The sequence below is a fragment of the Homo sapiens genome, chromosome 2 (genome assembly GCF_000001405.40).
Source record: "Homo sapiens chromosome 2, GRCh38.p14 Primary Assembly".
Lineage (NCBI taxonomy): Eukaryota > Metazoa > Chordata > Mammalia > Primates > Hominidae > Homo > Homo sapiens.
The window spans coordinates 39,449,701-39,476,983 of NC_000002.12; the positions used below are offsets into that span (position 1 = coordinate 39,449,701).

The 27,283-nt window shown below is 39.4% G+C and overlaps 1 long non-coding RNA gene across 1 annotated transcript in view, besides 2 other annotated features; it reads left to right on the top strand.

Annotated features, from left to right (window-relative positions):
* Positions 1–27,283, top strand: part of MAP4K3-DT (MAP4K3 divergent transcript) — a 163,929-nt gene that overhangs the window by 12,285 nt on the left and 124,361 nt on the right. Inside the window, exons 2-3 of the long non-coding RNA NR_037875.1 lie at positions 4,139–4,231; positions 4,597–4,665. This is a non-coding gene — a long non-coding RNA (MAP4K3 divergent transcript). The remainder of the gene's footprint in view (positions 1–4,138; positions 4,232–4,596; positions 4,666–27,283) is intronic.
* Positions 19,807–20,307: an enhancer, noted in NCBI's record as "NANOG-H3K27ac hESC enhancer chr2:39696648-39697148 (GRCh37/hg19 assembly coordinates)". NCBI's record gives its function as "activates a minimal SCP1, AML or CMV promoter by ChIP-STARR-seq in naive H9 embryonic stem cells {active_cell/tissue: H9 hESC(naive)}" and the evidence as "EXISTENCE:reporter gene assay evidence [ECO:0000049][PMID:30033119]".
* Positions 21,160–21,209: a silencer, noted in NCBI's record as "silent region_11388". NCBI's record gives its function as "represses an Ori minimal core promoter by ATAC-STARR-seq in GM12878 lymphoblastoid cells {active_cell/tissue: GM12878}" and the evidence as "EXISTENCE:reporter gene assay evidence [ECO:0000049][PMID:35858748]".

A 27,283-nucleotide genomic window follows, 5' to 3' on the forward strand; every position in this document is an offset into this window, starting at 1 on the left:
TCTTCTTTTTTTTTTGAGACGGAGTCTCACTCTGTTGCCAGGCTGAAGTGCTATGGCTCGATCTCGGCTCACTGCAACCTCCACCTCCCGGGTTCAAGCGATTCCTCTGCCTCAGCTGGGACTACAGGCGCGTGCCACAATGCCTGGCTAATTTTTTGTATTTTAGTAGACACAGGGTTTCACCATGTTGTCCAGGATGGACTCAATCTCCTGACGTCGTGATCCACCTGCCTCGGCCTCCCAAAGTGTTGGGATTATAGGCGTGAGCCACCGTGCCCGGCCAAGGCATGCCTCTTCTTAGTATTTGAGCCAGACCTTCAGCCTGGGATCATATCGTCTGGGTTACTTACAGATACTTTAAAAATATATGAATCTTTTTTTTTTTGAAACAGAGTTTTCTTCTTGTTGCCCGGGCTGGAGTGCAGTGGCGCGATCTCGGCTCACTGCAACCTCCACCTCCCGGGTCCAAGCAATTCTCCTACCTCAGCCTCCTAAGTAGCTCGGATTATAGGCACGCGCCACCATGCCCAGCTAATTTTTTGTATTTTTAGTAGAGACAGGGTTTCATCATGTTGGCCAGGCTGGTTTTGAACTCCCGACCTAAAGTGATCCACTTTCCTCAGCCTCCCAAAGTGCAGGGATTACAAGTGTGAGCCACCGTGCCCGGCCAAAAAAATATATCTTTACATTAGTAGTTAAACATAAATTAGTAGTTAAATTGTAGTATGACCTCTCTCAGCTAGGCATTTGATGCTATCAGGATAGTTTTAACATGTGGTGATGGAATAATTGTTTTCCTTGTAAAAGAAACAAAAGGAAGGAAATTCATGAAAGTTTCCCCACCACTTTGTATTTTATTTACAAATGGTTAAACTTGTAAATGAAATTTGTGAATAGCCTCTTTCAAATTTAAGCGTGGAGCTTCTTATGGTCAGTCTGTGTCTATCTCAATGTCTGGAAATGTTTGTATGAAACTGTACTGCCTAAAAGCATAACACTTTTTCATTGCTGATGCCAGTATTTAGGGTTTATGTATCCTCTCACCTAAGGAGAGCATTATTCTGTCATTCCACATAAACTCAAAACACCTATCTGCAAATCTGAGTGCACTCTGTTGTCTGCTATATGGTGTGCAAGCTCTTAATTAGTCTCTCTTGCCCCAGTCTCTTCCTCTTCTTATGATAGCACACCTGGCCAATAAACATGCTTCCAGAATGCCAACAATGGAAATATGGAAGTTCCGAGGTGAAGCTAAATTTGGAATAAATGTGAGTTTACATTTAGACATGTTGACTTTGAGGAAATAAGAGGGCATTCAAGGAGGAGCTATTACAAGGATAATGACAGATTCTGAATACGAAGTATAAGAGGGTAAATTGAGCCATACAAATAGAGACCATAGATGGAGTCATGAGATTTATGAATGGGGTCTGAGGGTGTAGAGCAATGTGAGCAACCTTCTTTCTTTCTTCTTCTTTTTTTTCTTTTTAAACAAGGGGCTCTTAAAAGTAACAGAGGTGGGTGGACCTTATTTTTGTAAACATTGAAAGTGAAAATAATGTCACTGAATTCAATGACAAAAATGTGTGCTTTAGGATGATTTCATGAAGTATGACTATTCTTCCTCCAGGCAAGTGTTTTCTGGCATTTCCTTGGTACATATCTGGCGTGGGATTTAAGGGATGGATAGTGGAGGTCCAAGTGGAGAACTGAGAGAAGAAGGGGAACCAGAGAAGAGCTGTCAACTTTCAAAATGTTGGAAGAAGGAAGAAGGGAGAAAATAAGCAAAAGTTCAGCAAACTGAGTACTTGTGAAAGAGATTGTGGATTTATGTTTGAGGACTAAAGAGAATAGAATAGAACTCAAGTGTGGCTTTACAAAATGAATGGGTTCCTCTTTGATGTTTTTTTTTTCAGAGTTGGAAGTAAAGGTTAGAATACCTTTTTAAAATTACTGTGTATCTTGGCTGGGAGTGGTGGCTCATGCCTGTAATCCCAGCACTTTGGTAGGCCGAGGCAGGCGATCACCTGAGGTCAGGAGTTTGAGACCAGCCTGGCCAACGTGGCGAAACCCCGTCTCTACTAAAAATACAAAAATTAGCTGGGTGTGGTGGCATGTGCCTGTAATCCTAGCTACTTGGGAGGCTGAGGCAGGAGACTTGCTTGAACCTGGGAGGCAGAGGTTGCAGTGAGCCGAGATTGCACCACTGCACTCCAGTCTGGGCAACAGAGTGAGACTCTGTCTCAAAAATCAATCAATCAATCAATCAATAAAAATAAAACAAAATAACTACATATCTCTATATGTGGCTCTGAGCAGAGTCTCAGGCATGTGAGACTCCAGGATTTATTAGGGCTACAAGAAGAATGCCAATGAGAAACTTGGCAATGCTTCTTTGAACAACTAAAATGTTATCTGGTCATATCTAAGATGTCACAACACAGAAGCAGCTTTCTAATCTTTTATAACTTAATTTGCATGGCTCTTTAGAGTTTATAAATGTCTTCACATTTATATCTTATTTTATCTTTGGAATGACTTCCTGAATTATTATCATCCATAATTTATAAATGGAGAAATTGAAGCTTAGAGAAGTAAACTAGAAGCATATCAGAGTTTATAATTAGTTCCAGTCAATTTAACATCTACTGAGCCTTGATCTGAGTTTCAGGTTGTACTAGATACTGGGGATGCAAAAGTTAATAAAATGTGCAACCAGTCCTCAACCATTACACCATTACTTTCTTTGCTTTTCCCAAATTCTCTCCCAGAGGTTTGATATCCACCCTTCCCTTGGGTTGGGCCGGTTCATAGTGAGATACAATACTGAGCGTCACCTACACAAACACCAGCTTATAGAAAGTATTGGCTCCAGGGTACTCTGGAAGTTCCACACCTATGATGTAGTTAGCAGAATTGCAAAAGTGGTTCATGCCTGTAATCCCTATGCTTTCGGAGGCCAAGTCAGGAGGATCGCTTGAGGCCAGAAGTTTAAGGCTATAGTGAGCCATTAGTTGTGCCACTGTACTCCTGAGCGAGACCCTGTATCTAAAAATGAAAAATAAAAACAATTGCAAAGGTAAAGAAGATCAGGGAACTCTTATACAACCACATTAGAAGGCAATTCAGCAAAATCTAATAAGCTAAAGATATCTTTATCTTACAATCTAGCAATTTCACTTCTCCGTGTAGAAACTCTCCCTTAAACATACAAGGAGATGGGTAAATGAATGTTCATTGAAGTATCATGTATAACAGAAAAATAATTGGAAATGATGTAAGTTTCCATCCACCTGAGAATGGATAAGTAAATTGTTTTGTGATCACACAGTGAAATACTACGGATTAGTTAAAATGAATGAACTAGAACTGGAACTAAAATATGCATAAATCTCAAAAAATGTAATACTGAGTGATAAAGTAGCAGAAAATACATAAAGTATGCTACTGATTACACTAAGTTTAAACACATGAAAATACTAGATATTTCTATGTATGATAGGCATTTTAGAATATCCATGGTAATAATAAAAAAGTCATATTCAAGATAGTTGTTATATCCTGTTGAGGAAAAAAAGATTATCATATAGCGTGCAGAAGGCTTTAGCTGATTCACTTCAAAAAAAAGAATCTGAAGCAAATATTACACAAGTTAATACTTGACAAAGGTGAGTAGGGAGAAAAAAAGAGGTTGTTATTACTTTCTGTATGTTGATGCTTGAAATATTTCATTTAAAGATGTATATGGCTCCTAGACTTTGGAATTCTTGGCTTTTGTGATTTTTTTTATGTGTGTGTGTGTGCAGGATTTTCTTTTTTTTCCTCTTCCCATGTTGAAATTCCATCCATTCTTTGATAACTAGCTTGTCTCACCAGCTTATTGAGAATTTCCATGATGGCTTTGTCAGTTCACAGTGTGTTCTCACTTTTTTTTTGGATTTATTTATTTATTTATTTAGAGATAGGGTCCCGTTCTGTCACCCAGGCTGGAGTGCAGTGGTACAATTATAGCTCACTGCAGCCTCAAACTCCTGGGCTCAAGTGATCCTCCTGCCTCAGCTTCTCAAGTAGGCAGACTACATGCACATACTACCATGCCTGGCTAATTAAAAATTTTATTTATTTATTTTTTTTATAGAGGCAGAGTCTTGCTTTGTTGTCCAGGCTGGTCTTGAACTTCTGAGCTCAAGTGATCCTCCCGCCTTGGCCTCCCAAAGTGCTGAGACTACAGGTATGAGCAACCATGCCCAGCCTTCTCCTTTTTTAAAACCCCTTCTAAGTGTATAAACTTCTCTTGTATATATGTTTGTATCGCTAGATTTTTTTGATGTTGTTGGTTAAATATATATTGTCTTGCGTTACTATTTGACTTTAATATACATAAATCTTGTTTCTCCAATTATATTGTAAAAAGTCTTCAGAGCAGGGACAATGTCTTCAGCTTTGTTCATTCTTCCACAGTGCCCAGCAGAGCCTAACCAAATACTTATTAAAGTAAAGTGGTATTTTTACCAATAATTATAACTCTTCCTACAAAACCTTTACATAGAAAGTTTAAAATAATAATTTGAGCTACATTTGCTTTTATTTTCCCAGAGAGAGAATGCTAACGAGCTGTGAAATGACCAAAGATCTGGCAGCAGAAGGGAAAAGAAAAAATAATGGGTTTGTATATTATACATTCTGGATAATCAGCTCTTGAATGATTAAGTGTGGAATACGTCTTACGGGGAAAAGCAGATTTTTAATACTCATTTTGTCCCGGCGCGGTGGGTCACGCCTCTAATCCCAGCACTTTATGGGAGGCCGAGACAGGCGGATCACGAGGTCAGGAGATCGAGACCATCCTGGCTAACACGGTGAAACCCTGTCTCTACTAAAACTACAAAAAAATTAGCCGGGCTTGGTGGCGGGCGCCTATAGTCCCAGCTACTCAGGAGGCTGAGGCAGGAGAATGGCGTGAACCCAGGAAGTGGAGTTTGCAGTGAGCCAAGATCGCACCACTGCACCCCAGTCTGAGCGACTGAGCGAGACTCCGTCTCAAAAAAAACAAAACTCATTTTATGACCATGGAATTGTTGTATTGATCATTTCCAGTTTTCAGATGATCCTATGCCAAACTTACACATTATTTTGGAAAAACAGAATTCTCTTATGATATGTCGTATAACTATATACAAATGTACCTTATGATTGTTCTGCCTTCACATCAATATTTATTGGACTAGACCTGGAAATGGTGGTCTGGGAGAACTAAGAAACAAATATTATTCCACCTGTGGAACCACGAAGGAGTTTTGAAGAAAAAAAATTACCTTGAGTTCAATTCACTCTTGGTATATCTTGTAAAAAGTGCTTGCGGCTTGAAGCAACCACTTGAAATTAAGGTTGCCTGAAACCTCAGAATGAAAGTTTAGTCTAGTCCAGATGAAAGCTAAAGAGCACAGGAAATAGTAAGAGGTCTGGACTACATTGTCTCTCCTTGGAATTGAAAGTTGGTATCTAAGAAGAAGACACACTTAGGAATCAGTATTGTTACTTTTAGCAAAAGGGACAGTTGCCATGGTCTAGGTCAAAATTACCACCATTTAGTCCCTGGAGATTTTCCTCATGGACCTTTGTAATGTTTTATTAAACCAAGTCACCATCTCCTGGTTCTTTGGGATAGGCGCTACGACACCCAACACAGAGTTCCCTAAATTAAACTTTACCTACATCTGTATTTATGAGTGCATTTTAAACTTTGCAGTATATTTCAGGGAGAGTATATCTCTGAAAATTATTACTCCCCTCTAGCTCTATGTCATTTGCCTGGCAAAGAAATCAAAAGGCATAAAAATATCTTGCAATTTGGTGAGAGATTATATAGTCCTTCATGTTCACCCCATTTGTAGGTATTAATGTTGAAACAAAATCCTAAAGCAACATGACCAGAGTATTATTGCAGTCATCATGAGCCTTATCATTGATCTCTGCAGTTTTTTTCTTTTCTCAGATAAATAGAAGCAAGAAAAATAATGGTATATAGAGAATACATATTATTAATATATTGGGTTCTCAAAGTTCCTAAGTCTAAGTGTTTATAACCTAGAATTAATTTCCCATGGAAATAGTGTAATTAATTATGGTTAGATGCCAAGGCTAGGCCACAAAACCTCATATAATATTAGTAGGTGTGGCAGGATAAATTGATTGATAAACCATATTTTATTTTCTTGTCTACTGGCTCATAATGGGAAAACGAGAAGTATTTCTTTATCTCTTCTCTCTGGAGGGCGGGTTAAGCTGTGGTGATTTTCTGATGCCTAAGCCCATGAAGGCAGATGATTCAATGATTTGGAATGGGAAGGACTCCAAGAAAAGGGAAATGGCCTGATGTCAGGAGAATTTAGGTCTCTTGAACCTGTCTGGAGAGAACCAGACAGGAGTCAGTTTCTATAAATGGTGAGGAGCTGTGTCCACTCCCAAATAGACCAAAATGGTATAGATGTCCAATGGGGATGTCAGCCAGGATATTTTGTCTCAGAAGTGAGAAAAATACTAAATTACACAAGGATATAATAAGCCAAGGGTGAATGTTGTAAACTCTAGGTCACCATTAAGAGAATAATAAAAATATTTATAACTAACATAATATGGAAATAGGAAAAGGGAGAAAGGATAGTTAATTAAAAATAATTAAGCTAAAGGATGGCAAGAAGAGGCCAGGTGTGGTGGCTCACGTCTGTCATCCCAGCACTTTGGGAGGCCAAGGCAGGCAGATCACCTGAGGTCTGGAGTTCAAGACGAGCCTGACCAACAGGGAGAAACCCTGTCTCTACTAAAAATACAAAATTAGCCAGGCGTGGTGGCACACGCCTGTAATTCCAGCTACTCGGGAGGCTGAGGCAGGAGAATCGCTTGAACCTGGGAAGCGGAGGTTGCAGTGAGCCAAGATGGCGCCTTTGCACTCCAGCCTGGGCAACAACAAGAGCAAAACTCCATCTCAAAAAAAAAAAAAAAAAAGATGGCACAAGAAAAAAGATAAAAAGGAGCAAGTAACAAGTGGGGCAAATAGAAAAAAATAGTAAAATGGTACCTGTGAACCCAAATATCTCATTGAGTACCTTAACTATTAAAATTAAATATAAATTAATTATAAATTTAAAATATTAAATAAAAATGGCATAATATTCCACTAAAAGACAAAGATTGTCATACTGGTTAAAATAATTGCATATGCTTTTTTACAAAAGATACAACAGTAAAAGAATAGAAAAAAAACATGTTATGTGAAAGCTGTAACCCAAAACTCTTATAGCTATACAATAACATACAAAGTAGAGTTTAAGGAAAGAAGCATTATTAGAAATAAAGTGGGATATTTTACAATAATAAAAATATCAATCCATCAGGAAGATACAGTAAGTCTAATTCTGTGTACAACTAACAATATAGTTCAAAATATATTAATTCAAAAATTCCCAAAACTGCAGGGAGAAATAGATCTACAATAACAGTAAGATCTTTTCAGTAACCAATAAAAAAGTAGACACAAATTAATAAGAAAACACAAAATGTAAACAACATGATTAACAGAATTTACAAAATTGATATATATTGAATATTTCACCAAACAACTACAGAATTCACTTTCATTTCATATGAACATGGAATGTTTACTAAAAGTGGCAATAACTTGGGCCATAAAGCAAGCCTCAATGTATTTGAAAAAATTGACATAATACAGAGTACGTTCTTTGAGCAGAGGGGAATTAACCTAATAATATTTTAAAAACTAGAAAAATTTCAAATATGTGAAAATTAAGCAGTCTGCTTCTAAATAATCCATAGGTCAAAGAAGAAATCACAATGAAAATAAGAAAATATTTTAAACTAAATCATAATGAAAGTATGACATAAAAAATTTTAAGATGTAGCTAAAACTGTGTATTGGGGGAAATTTATTATCTTAAGGGCTAGAATCGATAGCTTTAAACAAAAATTACCTAGGTATTTATCTCAATAAGTTAGAAACAAAATGCAATTAAACTTGAAGAAAGCATAAGAAAAGTTAAGAGAAAAAAGTAATGAAGAAAATGTACAGTAGGCTAGGCATGGTGGCTCATGCCTGTAATTCTAGCTCTTTGGAAGGCTGAGATGGGTGGATCACTTGAGCCTAGGTGTTTGAGACCAGCCTGGGCAACCAAATGAGACCCCCCATCTCTAGAAAAAATTTAAATATTAGTTGGGTTTCATTGTGCATACCTCCGGTCCCAGCTACACAGAGGCTGAGGTAAGGGGATCACTTGAGCCCAGGAGGTTGAGGCTGCAGTGAGCCATGTTCATGCCACTGCACTCCAGCCTGGGCCTAGGTGAAAGAGTCTCAAAAAAAAAAAGTACAGTAGAGAAAAGTCACTGAAAGAAAATAAAACTGATAACTCCCTAGCAAAACTAATGACACATACGATATACAAATAAAAAGGAGGAAGGACACATATTACCTCTGTCAGACATAAAAAAAAAAAAGACACCACTGTGGACCCCACAAACATTACAAAGTTGAAGAGAAAATATTTGGGACAACTTAATATCAATAAATTAGAAAATTTAGATAAAATGGGAAATTTCTAGAATAACTCAATTTACCAAAAGTGACACCAAAAGAAATAAAAAACCCCAATAGTCCTGTTATGACATGACAAAGCATGCATCTATGAACAAATTTTTAAAATAAAACAGAGTAAAATGTTTATGACCTTGTATTTCACAAGTATTTCTTAAATACTACACACACACACACACACACACACACACACACACACAAACTACACAAATATTACACATAAATATAAAAGAAGGCCAGGCACAGTGGCTCACACTGTAGTACCAGCACATTGGGAGGCTAAGGTAGAAGGATACCTTGAAGCCAGGCGTTTGAGACCAGTCTGCGCAACAAAGCGTGAACCTATCTCTTAAAAAAAAAGGAAAAAAAGAAAATTAATAAATTAGACTTATGCAAATAAAAGTTTTGCTCTTCATAAGTAACTATTATGAAAAAGAAACTGCAAACCACAGACTGGAAGAAAATATGTGTAAAATAAACACCTGATGATAGGCTTGTGTTAAGAATAATAAAGAATTCTTACAACTCAATAAGAACGCAAATTAACTCAATTTATAAAATGGGCAAAAGATTTTAACAGACATTTCATGAGTGTCAATAAGCATATGAAAGCATGCTCAATGTTGTTAATCACTGGGAAAATGCAAATTAAAATCATAATGAGATACCATTAGATATGCACTAGAATGGCTAACATTGACAAGACTGACAATGCCGAGTGCTAACTAAGATGTGGAGCAACTGGGACACTCACATACTGGTGATGGGAATGTAAATAGCATAGTCACCTTGGGAAAATTTGACAGTTTCTTAAGTTAAATATAAACTTATAAGACCCAGCAATCCTAATCCTAGATACCTACTTAAGAAAAATGAAACATATGTATATACAAATACATGTCTTGAATGTCCATTGCAGCTTTATTCATAATGACTAAAAACTAGGAACAACAAAATGTCCATCAAAAGATGAACTGATAAACAAGTTGAGATATATCCATAAAACAGAATACTATTCACCAATAAAAAGTAATTAACTGGGCCGGACATGGTGGCTCAGGCCTGTAATCCCAGCACTTTGGGACGCCGAGGCAGGCAGATCACTTGAGGCCAGGAGTTTGAGACCAGCCTGGCCAACATGGTGAAACCCCATCTCTACTAAAAATACAAAAATTAATGGCTGTAGGGACAGGCACTTGTAATCCCAGCTACTCAGGAGGCTGAGGCACAAGAATCACTTGAATCTGGAAGGCAGAGGTTGCAGTGAGCTGAGATCGCACCACTCCACTCCAGCCTGGACAAAGAGCGAGACTGTCTGAAAAAAAAAGTAAAAGTAATTAACTACTTGCTGAAATGACATGGATGGGATTTCAAAATTATGCTCATTGAAAGAAGCCAGACACAAAATACCACTAACTGAATGATTCAATTTATATAAAATTGTAGAAAAGACCAAGTTATAGTGACAGAACACATATCAGTGTTGCCAGTTGTCAGGGAGGTGGAAGAAGAGAAGTAACTTCAAAAAACACATGGGAGCTTTTTGGGATAATGGAAATATTCTGTATAATGATTATGATGATGGTTACCTTGTAAAATACACTTATAAAATTAATGCAATTGTATTCTTTAAATAGGTGAATTTCATTGTATGAAAATTATATCCCAATAAAGCTAACAAAAAAAAAGTAGGTCAAAGACTTGAACAGGTGCTTCATAAAAGAGAACATCCAAATGACCAATAAGCATATGAAAAAGCATAAATTAAAAGTAGAATGAGATACCATTATGCTCCTATCATTATGTCTAAAATCAAAAAGATGGAAAATACCAAGGATTGCTGAGGACATTGGCACAACTGGAACTCTCCTATGCTGCTCACAGGGATGTAAATTGGTATTACCACTTTGGAAAATTGTTTGGCAATGTCTAGGAAAGCTGAATACGTGCATAAACTATGACTGGGTAATTCTAGTTCTGTTTGTAGTCAAAATTTGGGAACCAGTAGAAAGGATAAATAAATGGTTGTAAATCTGTGCAATGCAATACTACACAGCGATGAGAATGAATGAATTACTGCTACATATGACATGGAAGGAGCATATAAACATAATACTGAGTGAAAGAAACCATACACAAAAGGGTACATTTATTTAAAGTTAGAAAGCAGGGCCTGGCGCAGTGGCTCACGCCTGTAATACCAGCACTTTGGGAGGCCGAGGTGGGCAGATCATGAGGTCAAGAGATCGAGACCATCCTGGCCAACATGGAGAAACCCTGTCTCTACTAAAAATACAAAAATTAGCTGGGCGTGGTGGCACGTGCCTGTAGTCCCAGCTACTCAGGAGGCTAAGGCAGGAGAATAGCTTGAACCCAAGAGGCAGAGGTTGCAGTGAGCTGAGATCGCACCACTTCACTCCAGCCTGGTGACAGAGTGAGACTCCATCTCAAAAAACAAAACAAGACAAAACAAAAAAAACAAAAAACAGAAGACATTAAGTTATGGTAATAGATGTCAAGATTGTGGTTACCTGACAGAAGGTAATAACTGGGTGAGAGCATAAGGGGCCTTCTAGAGTGCCAGTACTCCTCCTTGATCTTCATAGTAGTTACATGGGAGTTCACTTTGTGAAAATTCATTAGGATTCTATCCTTATGATTTGTGCCACTTTCTTTATGTATGTTATATTCAATAACATTTCTATTTAAAAGTTCCAATCACACCAATACCTATATAACAATCATAACTCAGAGCATAATCTATAACCAAGTAAATCCTACTCATCTGACTTTGCCTGACCTAATAATATAAATGAAAATCCAAACATTCAAGACAGAAAATTACTTGTAGCACAAAAGCACCTTTCACTTTATAACGCAACACATCAAATGCATGAAAGGAACGAGGATGACATCACAACAGATCCATTTTTCAATTGTGTAGATGTATTCGAAGGAAAGAAATAACGTGCTTGCTGTGAATACGTTCACTTTAAACATTATGTCTGTTAGTAAAACACTAAAATCAGCCCAAATATCCAACCACTGGATCAAGATTTAATGAATTATGATATACTAATACAAGATAATAACATACATTAAAAATGACGAATAGAACACCTTGTAGAAACACTAAACATTTTTGCAGGTGTAATGTCACATAAAAAAATCTAAATGTAAGAGGATGTGTACATCATGAGTCTATCTATGCAAAAGTGGACCAATAGGTAAAATGAACAAAGACAAACTGCTGTGTTGGAGTGGCAGATTTATGGATTTTTGTCGGGGAAGAGGAGGTACCCTTATGGAAATAGTCTTTGTTATTATTTGGGTCAGTTGACTTTTTTTGTTGTAAGCAACAGAAACTAACTTAAATGAAAAAGAGATTTCCTTTCAAGCCGTATAGGAGTAGCTTACAGAATCAAAGGCATTGCTGAATGACCAAGAGGAACAGGAACCGGGAAGGTGACAGAAATCTTAGAAACAAAAGTTCTTTAACCAACTCTCTAGGATTCTGCCTCCTTGTGATTAGCTTTAAATACCTTTTGTTGGCTGGGCGTGGTGGCTCATGCCTGTAATCCCAGCACTTTGGGAGGCCAAGGAGTGGGTCACTCGAGGTCAGGAGCCAGGCCAACATGGCGAAAACCTGTCTCTACTAAAAATACAAAAATTAGTCGGGCATGGTGGCGTGTGCCTGTACTCCTAGCTACTCGGGAGGCCAAGGTATGAGAATTGTTTGAACCTGGGAGGCGGAGGTTGCAGTGAGCCAAGATCGTGCCACTGCACTCCAGCCTGGGTGACAGAGCAAGACCTTGTCTCAAAAAAAAAAAAAATAATAATAATAAAAATACCTTCTCTTCCCATGTGCCTCCACTCAAGATTCAAATTAATAAGAGAGAAAATCTGATTGTTCCAGTCTGAGTCACATATCCACCTTGTCCCTTGATTGGTAACCATATCAGAACCACCTGGAGTTGAGGAAAGGTACTTCCCTAAAACAGAGGGATAGTGCTGTGACCAGAAGAACAGGGAGCAGAAGGATGCTAGGTGGACCAAAACAACAATTCCATGAAATTTTATGCCATCTTTTCCATAAATAGAATATTACTAGTTTTTCTTATATTAAATGAAGATATACTTATTGAAGATACTTTGCAAAATTTAGAAAAGTATAAAGTAAAAGAATAATGAAGAGAAAAATCATCTTTTATCACTATCTGCAACCCTGTATTATCTATTGCTGCATAATAAGTTACCCTCAAAACTAGGGTGACCAAAGACGGAAAGTAGATTAGTGAGGGGGGACAAAGGACTGAGTGGTTATAGCAAAAGAGTATGGGATTTCGTTTTAAAGTTCTAAAACTGGATTGTGATGGTTGCACAAATCTGTGAATGTAGTAAAGCCATTGAAATTTTAATGGGTGAATGTTATGAGACGTGAATTATGTATATCAATACAGCTGTATTTTTAAAAATACTAAGGTGACTAACTATCCCAGTTTGCCTAGGATGTCCCTGGTTTCAGTATTGAAAATCCTACATCCCAGTAAACCCCTCAGTTCTGGTAAAAACTAGATAGTTGGCCAGGCATGGTGGCTCACGCCTGTAATCCCAGCACTTTGGGAGGCCGAGGTAGGCGGATCACGAGGTCAGGAGTTCAAGACCAGCCTGGCCAACATGGTGAAACCCCATCTCTACTAAAAATACAAAAATTAGCTGGGCGTGATGGCAGGCGCCTGTAATCCCAGCTACTCAGGGGGCTGAGGCAGGAGAATTGCTTGAACACAAGAGGCGGAGGTTGTTGGGAGCCAAGATTGTGCTATTGCACTCTAGCCTGGGCAACAAGAGTGAAATTCCATCTCAAAAAAAAAAAAAAAAAAAAAAAAAGCTGGACAGTTGATCACCTTACTCAAAATGTAACAACTTAAAACAGTAAGCATTTGTTATCTCAGTTTCTCTAGATTAGAAATCCAGAAGGAGCTTAACTGGATGTTTCTGGCTCAAGGTCTCTCATGAAGTTGCAGTCAACACATTAGCTGGGGCTGCAGCCATCTGAAGCTTGACCTGGGCTGGGGACCTGCTTCCAAGCTCACTCATGTGATGCTGACAAGAGGCCACAATGTCTTGCTATGTGAGTCTCTCATTGTGTGCCCTCATAATGTGGCAACTGGCTTTCCCCATAAGCAAGTGATAGAGACAGAGAAAGGAAAGAGAATTTGCCTTATGTAATAATATCTCATAAATGGAAAGGGAGAAAAACTAAGGACTCAGATAGATGTTCTAGTGTCTTTTAAAATTTTTGTAAGTTTATTTTATTTATTTATTTTTTGGAGACCGGGTCTTGCTCTGTTACGCAGGCTGGAGGGCAGAGACGAGAAAAGGGGTCCCAGAACCTCTGGGGCTCAAGCGATCCTCCCACCTCAGCCTCCTGAGTAGCTGAGCTGGAACTAGAGAGGTGTGTGCCAACACTTCTGGCTTTTTTTTTTTTTTTTTTTTTTTGGTAGAGGCAAGGGTCTCACTATGTTGCTCAGAACTCCTGGCCTCAGGCAGTCCTCCTGCCTTGGCCCCCTAAAGTGTTGGGATTACAGGCATGACCCACCATCCACCATGCCCTGCTCATGTCTTTTAAAACCTAATCTTGCCATCACTCCTGTCATATTTTACTGGTCACACACTTCACCTCTGGTACAATTTGAACGGGAACTACACAAGGGTCTTCATGCTAATGTGTGAATATAAGGAAACCAGATCATTGAGCATTCCTGGAACCTCACTTCTACAAACTGTAATCCTAACTTTTTTTTTTTTTTTTTTTTGAGATGGAGTCTCACTCTGTTGCCCAGGCTGGAGTGCAGTGGCATGATCTTGGCTCACTGCAACCTCTGCCTCCCAGGTTCAAGTGATTCCCCTGCCTCAGCCTCCTGAGTAACTGGGATTACAGGCATGTGCCACCACGCCTGGCTAATTTTTGTATTTTTTGGTAGAGCTGGGGTTTCACCATGTTGGTCAGGCTGGTCTTGAACTCCTGACCTCAGGTGACTCGCCTGCCTCAGCCTCCCAAAGTGCTGGGATTACAGGCATGAGCCACTTTGCCCAGTCTCCATTTTACTGATTTTTAAATTAAAACATCCTCATTATAGAATGCATGGACAATTCAAGAGTATAATAGAGACGCATGTTACAATGAACACCTTTGAACATAAATTTTACTCCTATCTCTGATTAGATTTCTAGTTGTGCAATTATTAGGGCACATGGCTTACACATCTTGAGACTTGTTCCATATTGCCAAAATGCTTTTCTGATACTTGCAGTGTATCAGATGCCCATTTTGCCATACCCTTGCTAGCCTCCAGTATTATTTTTAGTAACTCTGCCAATTTCTAGGTGAAAAACTGTACCCCCTTGTTTTAGAGTGCTTTTTAATAGGAAAGTGGAACATTTTCTCATAGGTTTAGTGGACACCACTAATAAATAAGCATTTAACAGATTGTAAATCCTTTCCATATATATATATATATGTATATACGTATTTATTTAACATTTATTGAGTGCCTATTGTAAGAACAGGAAGTATCCCTGCTGCCAAAATACTCACAGTCAAGTGAGTGAGACTGACCAAAAAAAAAAAAAAAAGTTCAATATATTCTAATCTGAGGAAACATTTAAAAAGCAAAGTAAAGAAACAGTTTGGTTGCTAATTGAGACTTTAAGTACTTTTCCTGCACTGGAACATCAAGTAGAGAGGTGGGGAATGATGGAGTATTAAGAGAATAAGACTAGCTAAGTGAGATCAGATCTCATTGGCCTGTCCAGCTCTGTTAAGAAACTTAGGTCTAATCCCTGAAGGCAATGGGAAAGCAAGGAAGAGTTTTAAACACCCACAAGTGAAATGATCAGATTTGTGCTTTTGAAATCTCCTTCTGCTGAACTGTGGAGGAAAAGCGGAAGAGTGGTACTAATGGAAATAGGACAGCCAGATAGGAAACTGAAGCTGTAGTTCAGGAAAGAGACAAGGATGGCCTGACCTAGTGGAACAGAGAGAAGGATGTTGAGAAATGTTTTAGGTTTAAATGGCAGCCCTCATCCCAGCCTAAGCCTCTGGAAAAATAAAGCAATAAAACAAATGATTGGAAGACAGGCTCTAAAACATTTATTGCTGAAAAAAAAGCTAAGGTATAGGTCTTAGCTTAGTGTGAGAGCCAAATGAGATGCTAAATAAACCCCTTGATTAGGGTATGTGCCTCTGATGTGAATGTTGTGGTGTGCCACCTAGATTTGTTTTCCCAAATATACAATTTATTCCCCCTGCTGGGAGTGCTGCTTGCAGACACGTCCATCAACTAGTAGTCATCTTTAGGGATGGCCTTGTCTAAAGAGAGCCACTAGCCCAAAGTCATGCTCCCTGCCTGAGGTGGTCCATGTGTAATGACTGATCCAAGTAGAAAATGTAAAGTCTTGATCCCAATTTGAGACAATTTCGAAAGGCCATCCCAGCTTTGGTGCTCCCCAAAGTCCAGCTGAGGTCTGCATTGAGACTGAATCTCAGCTCAACTTCTCCCTTTGCCCAATCTTGCTCCCTTCCCTTCTTTTCCTGTTTCTACCCTTTCCGTTCTACCCTTCTCTTCTCATTCTTTCCCCTTCCTTCTCCTTTCCTTTCCTTAGGATCCACAAGGAAACACCTGTCCCTTGGGAAAAAGCGTCGATCCCAAGAGCATTCCCCAATAAAACCTCCTACACACTAATTTCCGTTTCAGAATCTACTTCCCAGGGAATCCAACCTGTGATGCCCCTTGAGAAAAACTATACCTGGAGGATTAGAATGTGTGTCCCCTGTGGCCAGCAGCCACGAGGAGGAAGGGTGGCAGAAACTAGCATGCCCAGTTTGTCCTTTCCAAATTTACAAATCATAGGTCATTCCACCTTCCCTGAGATAGAATGGTTAAGTATGTGGACATATGCCAGGATTTACACCACCTGTGTTTCTTCAATAAAGTGGGAAACATTGAGATAATATCCAGTGATATTAAGGAGCTAGATTCACTAGGAATAAATGTATTAGATATAGTTGAGGAAAAATAGCGCCAGTCAAGAATTACCGATGGGTCTTAGGTAACTGAGTAGGTGGTAGTGTCGTTTACCGAGATTAAAAAAACAAGCCTGGAGGGATCTATGAGTTTCATTTGAAATGCCTTTGGGATGTCAAAGCAACTTGTTCACTAGGCAATTAAAGATATAAATCTGGAGTCCAGGAACATGACCTAGAGAACTGATATGAATGTATATACATACCTATCAGCATACACCCAGTAATGACTGGTATCCCGCAAGGCCGACAGATATAACTTAGGGAACAGAAGTCAGTTAAAAAAAAAAAAAAGACCAACAGACTCTAATTAGTATTTTCAGAGATTTGAGGGGTATTACCTAACTAAAACAAGACAAAAGATGCTATGAAAAGAATTATCAGAAATACAAGGAAATCTTGGGAATGAGAATATGATTGGCAAAGTTAAAATTTCACTGGAAGGATTAGAAAACAGAGTTGAGGCTGGGCACAGTGGCTCACGCCTGTAATCCCAGCACTTTGGGAGGCCGAGATGGGTGGATCACCTGAGGTCAGGAGTTTGTGACCAGCCTGACCAATGTGGTGAAATCCCGTCTCTACTAAAAATACAAAAATTAGCCGGGCGTGGTGGCGTGTGCCTGTATTCCCAGCTACTCAGGAGGGTGAGACAGGAGAATTGCTTGGACCCGGGAGGCAGAGGTTGCAGTGAGCCAGGATCATGCCACTGCACTGTAGCCTGGGCGACAGAGCGAGACTCCATCTCAAAAAAAAAAAAAAAAAAAAAAAAAAAAGAAAGAAAAAGGAAAACAAAATAGAGTTGAGAAAATATTCCAGAAAGATGAATATGAATAAAAAGGAGACAGTCGTGGGGATGAAAAAAATCCAATGGTCAACTAATAGTATCTTTAATATAGATCCTTTTCTGGTTCCTTTTTTGTTCATTAATTCTTGGATGAGTTTCTGGGCAGTTTTTAGTAAGAAGTGTGTAGGAAGAGAGGCCAGGGGTTTTGTGTTAGGCTGAAGGAAAGGACCCAGCAGAGGGAAGAAATGAATGGCGAGGTAAAGAAGGGAATAACGGATGGAGGACCCTTCCTGAGAAGACTAAAGGGGGGTGTATCCAAAACTTGGGTGCAGGCACTCACCTTAAATGGGAGGACACCCTTTCTTTGTGCAGGATGGAAAAAAATACGTGCAGATGCAGAGAACCTTCTAGGTGGCATGATTGGAAATGGAGTTTTCCAATGGCTTCTATTTTGTCTATGAAGTACGGACACTGTCTATAGTGGGTGAATGTGATCGTTGGGGTGGCATATGAGCATGGAACTTTAGGGAGTATGAAGATTTTTAAAAATAGCCTAAATGAAGGGTGAAAGGGGGGAGAAAAGCTGCTTAGGGAAATAAGAAATGATTGCCTGACTACTCTGAGGGCCCAGGTGAGCTGGAGGCACGTAGCAGTGAATGGTTGAGAGTAGATTTTGATAATCAGAGCCAAAGTGAGGACTCACTACAATAGAGGAGACAAACTAGTTTCAGAAAGAAAAGGCATCTAGGCTCTTTTCAGAAGAGGCTTGTATAAGTGAAAAATAGAAAAACATCCTTCTATGAGTCATCATTCTCATTTTCATCAGCTCCCTGGGCCTGCTTATTTTCCTTTGATGTTTACAAAGGGACATGTGATTACATAAGGGAAGGGTAAAGGGTATAATAAACCAGGGTTGTAAGAGAAGGACCAACAGAAGGAAGAGACTTGAAACCCAGCTGGGAGCAGACAGGGGAAAGGGCTTCCTTGAATTGTCTTCATGGTTTTGTGAGAGGTGTGTGAACCAGAGCAACTCCATCTTGAATAGGAGCTGGGTAAAATGAGGCTGAGACCTACTGGGCTGCATTCCCAGACGGTTAAGGCATTCTAAGTCACAGGATAAGACAGAAGGTCGGCACAAGATACAGGTCATAAAGACCTTTCTGATAAAACAGTTGCAGTAAAGAAGCCGGCTAAAACTCACCAAAACCAAAATGGCGTCAAGAGTGACCTCTGGTTGTCCTTACTACTACACTCCCACTAGCGTCATGACAGTTTACAAATGCCATGGCAATGTCTGGAAGTTACCTTGTATGGTCTAAAAAGGGGAGGCATGAATAATTCATCCCTTGTTTAGCATAATACGCCCCTTGTTTAGCATATCATAAAAATGGGCAACCAGCGGCCCTCAGGGCTGCTCTGTCCATGGAGTAGCCATTCTTTTATTCCTCTACTTTCTTAATAAATTTGCTTTTGCTCTGCACTGTGGACTTGCCCTGAATTCTCTCTTGCGCAAGATCCAAGAACCCTCTCTTGGGGTCTGGATCAGGACCGCTTTCCTGTAACAGTCCCCAGGCACAGAAACTCTGAGGGAATCAGACACTTAGTTGTCTTTATTGCTCCCTCTTCAGTATATAGAACAGAGCCTGGCACACCTAGGTGCAAAATAAATATTTCTTGCATGAAAGAAGTCCACAGTGCAGTCACTGGCTTTTTTAGATGGTTAGCTCACTAGAATTTCATTTTTTTTTTCTCCTCCTCCTTTACAAAAAGTTTTCAGACAGACTTTGGGCCTGCTGGGGCATTTTCAAAAGACAAATAGTCCTGCTGCTGCTCCAGAGGACCCACCGCCCACCTCCCAGTCAGAACTATGTCTCTCTGTTCTTGTTGGAAAGGGGGACACAGCTTGCTTTGCAAGAAACTTGCATAGGAAATGGTGCAATCTGGGCTGTTTTTCATCTTCTTTCAACCTAATTTCCTAAGTTAAAAGAAAGAGAAATTTAAGGAATCTTAGGAATATGAAACTTCTCTGGAATGATCTTTACTGAGCTGTGTTTGGAATCAGCTGAAATCCTGAAGGACTGTCAAGCCAGCCAAGAATAAAAGAAAATAAAAAATAACTTAAACAATCCTAGCCAAAATCTGAAAATGATATCTAGAGCAGCTGCTATTTTTTTCTTTCCCAGAATGGTTTGCCTTTCCCCCAGTTTGTAATTGTTATAGGATTGTTTTAGGTTATTTTGGAGTAGAAAAGAAGAAAGAAGGAAGGAATCGAGTGTTTTGGAAGTAGTATGATGCGGTTAGTTCTACCTTTTAAGCTTTATAATTTACACAGCTGTTGTACACATGTGAACTCCCTCTCATTAGGATGCTGCTGACTGGTACAGGAAGTTTTTATTCATGGCATTCTCCTTAGGAGTTTGTTTATGGCATTTAGGTCCTCTCCTGCCTTCCCTCCCCACCCCCACCCCAAATCAATCTATATTTGTAATTTATGGATGATCTCTCCAGGGCTTAATCTGTGGGGTAAAAGGCTGTCTTATCTGCTCTACATTTACTGAAAAAGGGTGCAAGAAAAACCGTATCTAGCTGGCCAGATGGGTAGGGAACACTTGGTTGCACTAAAAATTTTCCAGCAATGGTATCCCCAGCTTGCCCTTTTGCCCGAATAGTGCACAAAGTCAGCAAGCATTTCCCCTGAAGTGTCCACCTCCACACGGCCAAGACTGGCTTGGCTGGTTACCAGAGGCACTGAGAAGATTGAGGAGGCAGCTTATAGAATACTTTGCTTGCATCCTCGTTCTCATCCCATTGTGAGGTAACTGCCCCACAACTGAGCTAGATAAGAGAAAGGAACTGAAACTGATTTGCCCAAGGTCAGTCTGGGTGGATATTGAGCCTAGAATAAAGCACAGAATAGCTGCACCTGGGGCTGGCCCAGGGCATGCTCAGATGAATCACTGGCTTCACCAGAAATGCAGCTAGTCTGGAATGCAGTGCAGGGGCCCAGATGCCTGACACTGAACAGTAACTTAGAAAGGGGAAGGTCTTTTCCTACACATAGTGAAGCTTCAAGGAATCTTTAAGAAAATCACATAAGAAAGATGAATAAAAACTTTTTCTTCCTCCTACTCCTTCAACCCCTATTTCAGGTTCTTCCTTAGAGCAAACACTGATTTCAAGTTGGAGTGTGTCTTTTCATCTTTTTAGTTATTTATATATCTTTATTGATCTATCTGTGTACATACATCTGCATCTACATATGTGTGTATATGTATCTATCTATCTATCTATCTATCTATCTATCTATCTATCTATGTATCTATCTATCTATCTATATCTATACACAGACAGAGAGAGAGCCAGTGAGGGAATTTTGCTTTGTTTTGTTTTGACTGAAATGGTATCACACAGTGGATTGTTCTTCAACTTTGCTTTTTTTTTTTTTTTTAAGTTTAGCCATATCTCTCAGAGATTTTTCTGTGTCAGTACATTTTAGTTTTTTTCAACTGCTGCATGCTCTCACATAAGTCAGATGCATCACTAAGTGTCAGTCTTTCGATGATCATTTAGGTTGCTATGCTATCAGTTTTTACCACTATAAATAGTACTATAGTGAAACAACCTTGTACCTGCTTCCTTTTTGCACATATGCAAGTATCTCTCTACAGTGGATACCAAGGTGTGAGATTGCTGGGTCAAATGATAGGCGCATCCAAAGTGTGAAGGATTGCTGCCAATGTGTACTCCAAAAAGGTTGGCCAGTTTATATTCCCAGGAATACGGTAAGAGAATGTCTGTTTTTCCAGATGCTTCCCAACACATCAGTCTTTCTTATTTATTGTCAATCCAATGTATAAAAAATAGCATCCTCTTCTTTTTGTTTCCCCCCAAAACCAGTAAGACTGAGCATCTTTTCAGATGCTCGTTTGCCATTCATGTTCCTTCTTTGTGAATTGCTTATTTATGTTCTTTGCCCATTTTTCAATTTTGTCTTTTTTCTGGGGACATATAAAGGCAAGTCCTTTGCTACATACATTACAATACTTTCACCCAGTCTCTCCTTTGGATTTGAATCTCATTTTGTTGAACAGATGTAAAGTTTTGATATAGTAAAATTTATTAATCCTCTTCTTTATGACTTTGGTATTTTTTGTATTGTTTCAGGAGGCCTTTTCTACCCATGGTCATAAACATGGTCTCACTGCAATTCTGGGAAATACAAAATTTTTAAATGAAGTATTTTTATGGTGGTCCAACCCCCCATCATCTGTTTGTCTGAATTACTGCAATAGCCTCTTAACTAGTCTCCCTGCTTCCTTCATCGCTTCCTTATAGTCTGTTCTCAACACAACAGCCAGGGTGATTCTTACAAAACAGTCAAATCATGCCATTTCTCTGAATCAAATCCTCCAATAGCTTTTCATGTCACTTCAAGCCAAAGTTATGACAACGGTGCCACATGCATCCTCTGCACACCATGACCTTTTTCACCTCATTACCTACTACTCTTTTCCAGTTCTTGACACATACTAAGTTCTCAATAAATATTGGTAGAATTCATAAATAAATTTTATCCCCATTCATTTCGGGTAAAAAGTATTGAAAATGTTGGCATTGATATGGGGAAGCTCCCATACACTGCTGGTAGCAGTGTAAATTTGTACAAACCTTTACAATTTATAAATACTTGAGGATGAGCAGATCCTTCCCCTAGGCAATGCTCCTTCTAAGTATACACTCTAGAGAGGTTATTTTATGTGTGCATAAAGAGACTGTAGGAAAATACTTATTATAGCCTTGCTTTTAATGGTAGATGGGAGGAAGGAAACAAAGAATGAATGAATGAAGAAATGGTCAGAGGACAATTTATCCTAATAAAATATATACAAAATTTACTAACTCATGAATGAATGTTTACTTTTGTAGAATGTCTTTTTTAAAAAATTCCATAGAGGGTTTTTTTTGTGTGTTTTTCTGTATGTAGGCAATATTATGAACAAATATATAGATATTTTCTGATGTCAAAACATTCTTATATTCTTGGGGTAAATTCTATTTGGTTATGAGGTATTTTTATTTTTTAAAATACATTCTTGAATTTAATTGACTAGGATTTTATTTAGAATTTATCTTTTCCTAAGGTTTCTAATTAGAGATATAGGGTCTTTTATTTTTTTCTTTCTTTCTTTCTTTCTTTTTTTTTTTTTTTAAGTGAAAGCAGTTTGTTAAGAAAGTAAGGAATAAAAGGATGGCTACTCCAGCCGGGCGTGGTGGCTCACACCTGTAATCCCAACACTTCCCAACACTTTGGGAGGCCGAAGCAGGCGGATCACGAGGTCAGGAGATCGAGACCATCCTGGCCAACATTGTGAAACTCTGTCTCTACTAAAAATGCAAAAATTAGCTGGGTGTGGTGGCACATGCCTGTAATCCCAGCTACTCGGGAGGCTGAGGCAGAAGAATCACTTGAACCAGGGAGTCACAGGTTGCAGTGAGCCGAGATCACACCACTGCACTCCAGCCTGGTGACAGAGTGAGACTGCGTCTCAAAAAAATAAAAATAAAAATAAAAAATAAAATAAAATGGAATGGTTACTCCATAGACAGAGCAGCCTATAGGATCTTTTCAATTCAGTTTATAAGTGAGTTTGGTATGTAATATTTTTACTGCCATTTGTTTTGGGTGTTAGGGCTACCCTAGAATCATAGAGTGAATTGGATAGTACCTCCTTTCTTTCCAATTTTACAAAGTAGTTCCTGTATGATAGCTACTATTTCTTAATTGAAAGCTTGATAAAACTCATTTGTAAAAAAACATTTGAGGCCAGGCTCGGTGGCTCACGCCTATAATCCCAGCACTTTGGGAGGCCAACGCAGGCAGATCACCCGAGGTCGGGAGTTCGAGACCAGCCTGACCAACATGGAGAAACCCCGTCTCTACGAAAAATACAAAATTAGCCAGGAGTGGTGGTGCATGCCTGTAATCCCAGCTACTTGGGAGGCTGAGGCAGGAGAATCGCTTGAACCTGGCAGGTGGAGGTTGCAGTGAACCGAGATCGGGCCATTGCACTCCAGCCTGGGCAACAAGAGTAAAACTCCATCTGAAAAAAAAAACAAAAACACTTGGGCCTGATATTTATTGATAAGTAATAATTTTGATTGATTGTTGTTTGATCTATTACTGATTTTTTTAAATCTATTCAGGCTCCCTATTTCTTCTTGAGTTTATTTTGATAATTTGTATTTGTTTAAAAACATTTCTACTAAATCCATGTATACAAGTTTATTAGCATGAGGTTGAAAAATAACATTTTCTTTCTTTCTTTCTTTCTTTTTTTCCGAGATGGAGTCTTGCTCTGTCGCCCAGGCTGGAGTGCAGTGGCGCGATCTCGGCTCACTGCAACATCCACCTCCCAGATTCAAGCAATTCTCCTGTCTCAGTCTCCTGAGTAGCTTGGATTACAGATGCTTGCCACCACAACCATCTAATTTTTGTATTTTTAGTAGATACGAGGTTTCACCATGTTGGCCAGGCTGATCTCGAACTGGCTGGTCTCAAACTCCTGACCGTGTGATTTACCTGCTTCGGCCTCCCAAAGTGGTGAGATTACAGGTGTGAGCCACCGTGCCCAGCAATATTTTCTGAAGAATTAAAAAGCTTGTATTTGTAGCCAGGCACGGTGGCTCATGCCTGTAAAACCCAGAACTTTGGGAGGCTGAGGTGGGTAGATTGCTTGAGCCCAGGAGTTTGAGACCAGCTTGGGCAACATGGCAAAACCTCCTCTCTACAAAAAATACAAAAATTAGCCGGATGTGCTGGCACATACCTGTAGTCCCAGCTACTCAGGAAGCTGAGCTGAGGAGGATCGCCTGAGCCTGGAAGGTTGAGGCTGCAGTGAGCCTAGATGATGGCACTGCACTCTAACCTAGAAGACAGAGTGAGACCCTGTCTCAAAAAAAAAAAAAAAAAAAGTTGTATTTATAAATTTTACTTGAATTGTTTATATTACCTTTTCTTTCCTAATATTTTTGTGCCTTCTCTTGTCTTTTTGATCAGCCTTAATAGAAGTGTGTCAATTTAATTAGTTTTTTCAAAGTACAGTGGTCCCTTGGTATTTGTGGGGGATTGGTTCCAGGACACACTTGCATACCAAAATCCAAGGATGCTCAAGTCCTTGATGTAAAATGCCATACTATTTGCATATAGCCTGCACAATTCTCCTGTATGCTTCAAATTTTCTCTAGGTTACATAAAATACCTAATATGATATAAATGCTATGTAAATAGTTGTTATGCTATATTGTTTTTATTTGCATATTTATTGTTGTATTGTTATTTTTTATTTTTCAGAATATTTTCTGTCTACAATTGGTTGAATCTGTGGATGTGGAAACTGCAGATACAGATGGAGAGCCGACTATACTAGCTTTTTGTTTCATTTTTCACTTCTGGTGTGTGTGTGTGTGTGTGTGTGTGTGTGTGTGTGTGTGTATCTGTGTGTGTGTTTTATTAATCTCTGTGCCTGCATGTTAGTTTCTTCCTCTTTATTTGGATTTTCACTAACATTCTTTTCAGCTTCTTCAGTTGGATACTTGTTGCCAATATATTTTTTTTCATTCTAAGAATTAAATAAATGGGCCAGGCGTGGTGGCTCATGCCTGTAATCCCAGCACTTTGGGAGGCCAAGATGGGTGGATCACAAGGTCAGGTGTTTGAGACCAGCTTGGCCAAAGCTGGTGAAACTCCATCTCTACTAAAAATACAAAAATTAGCTGGGCATGGTGGTGCGCGTCTATAATCCCAGCTACTCAGGAAGCTGAGGCAGGAGAATCACTTGCACCCAAGAAGTGGAGGTTGCAGTGAGCCAAGATTGCGCCATTGCACCCCAGCCTGGGCAACACAGCGAGACTCCATCTGAAAAAAAAAAAAAAGAATAAATGAATGTATTAATCACCAAACTGCTCTTCATCAGAAACTCTTAGCAGTGGTATGTTGAGGTCTCCCTGCCTACCGTATATGTCTCTTAACTCTGCGGGTGCAATATTTTGTCATGGGTCAGTTTAGCAATATTGTACTATTTCCCAATTTTCTAAGTGTGTTCATTTCAGAGTTTATCCTATTCATTGTTCTTTCTTTCTTTTAAAAATTTCTATGACTGAGCTGGACATGGTAGCTCACACCTGTAATCCTAGCACTTTGGGAGGCTGAGGAGAGTGGATCACCTGAGGTCAGGAGTTCCAAACCAGCCTGGCCAACATAGTGAAACCCTGTGTCTACTAAAAATACAAAAAATTAGCTGGCCATGGTGGCAGGCGCCTGTAATCCCGGCTACTAGGGAGGCTGAGGCAGGAGAATCTCTTGAATCCATGAGGCGGAGGTTGCGGTGAGCCAAGATCATGCCATTGCACTCCAGCCTGGGCACCAAGAGTGAAACTCTGTCTCAAAACAAAAAAAAACTTTTCTATGACTGTATTTTTAATTCTCAGGATTTTAATTTGTTATTCTTCATAATCATAGCTATTTTATTTCTGACGGTTCGTGCTTCATAATTTTTATGAATGTTATTCCTCTGCTTAATTCCTTTGAAAGTCTTGAACAAATTCTTTTTAAAGAAGTAATTTTCAGATACTCTAGTATTTTGTTTTTACCTGGTGTGAATGCTTCTCCATGTTGTGGTTTCTATTTTTGGCAGTCTTTCTTATTTCTCTCCCTCTCTCCTTTTCTCTGTTCCTTCTTCTCTTCCTTCATTCCTTCCTTCCTGTCCCCCTAGGCTTAACCTTCCTGGTCTCATAGTTTTGCCGTTACCTACTTTCTGGGCCTCCCAGGCCTAGACCTCGGTTTTATCCTATAGTATTGTAGATCCAGTTCCTTCTCTAGGGTCAAATTCCGTCTTTAAGACTATGCCTGGTTCTTCCATGTCCCTAGGTATACAGATGTTTACAAGCCTGTAGCCCTAGGCAATTCCTTTCAAGGGGGTAGCCTTATCCCAGCCCTTGATTTCATGTGAGTCTTCTGCCTCACATGGGTTATTTAGTTCTTAGTACCCTGTATGAGTCTTGCCCCTGGATGCCTCTGTTTGCTGTTGGCAGAATTGAGCTGGTCTACATCTTCAGGCTACTTACCATATTGTTTCTGTTCCATTTCTGGGCTATGGAGATGTTTTTAAGTGTGAAAATGCCTTACATTTTTCCCATTTTATATTAAATCTATTATCACTATCATTTTGGATTGGCGTGGTCCTCAAAGCCCCATCTTGACTAGAAATCAACTAGCATTTGCTTCTCTGCAGTTCGTAATCTAGCTTCCTCTCTCACCTTTCTCTTGGCAATTGCCCTCTCTGAAGTCACTGCTGTTGTTTCCGAGTCACTGAATGAAACCGTTTTTCCTTCAGCCCCCATTTTCCTTCACTCCTCTGCAGCATCCAGCAGTGTTGACTGCTCTTCCTTTTACCTCTCTCCTGTTGGCTGTTAGGATGCTCTGCTGTCCCGGATCACTACCTCTTCTGATGCTTCCAGTTTTTAAACTGCTTTCACTTTTTCTTCCCCTTTTGTAACTGTGGATGTCCCACAAGGCCAAGTCCTTGGTGCTCTGGTTTTACCCTCTATTTCAGCTAATTTTGCTTATTCTCATCTTTGGTCATTGCTAAGTCCCTATCTGTTCACCAGGGCTTCCCCCTCCCCTGAGTTCTAAGCTACAGATCTGCTTGTGACACGTTCCACTTGATGCCCTGCTGTTCCATCAAATTTCCTCCCCTTTAATCCTCCCAAATGCCATTACAGATATCATTATTCTTAGATGGAGTCTTGC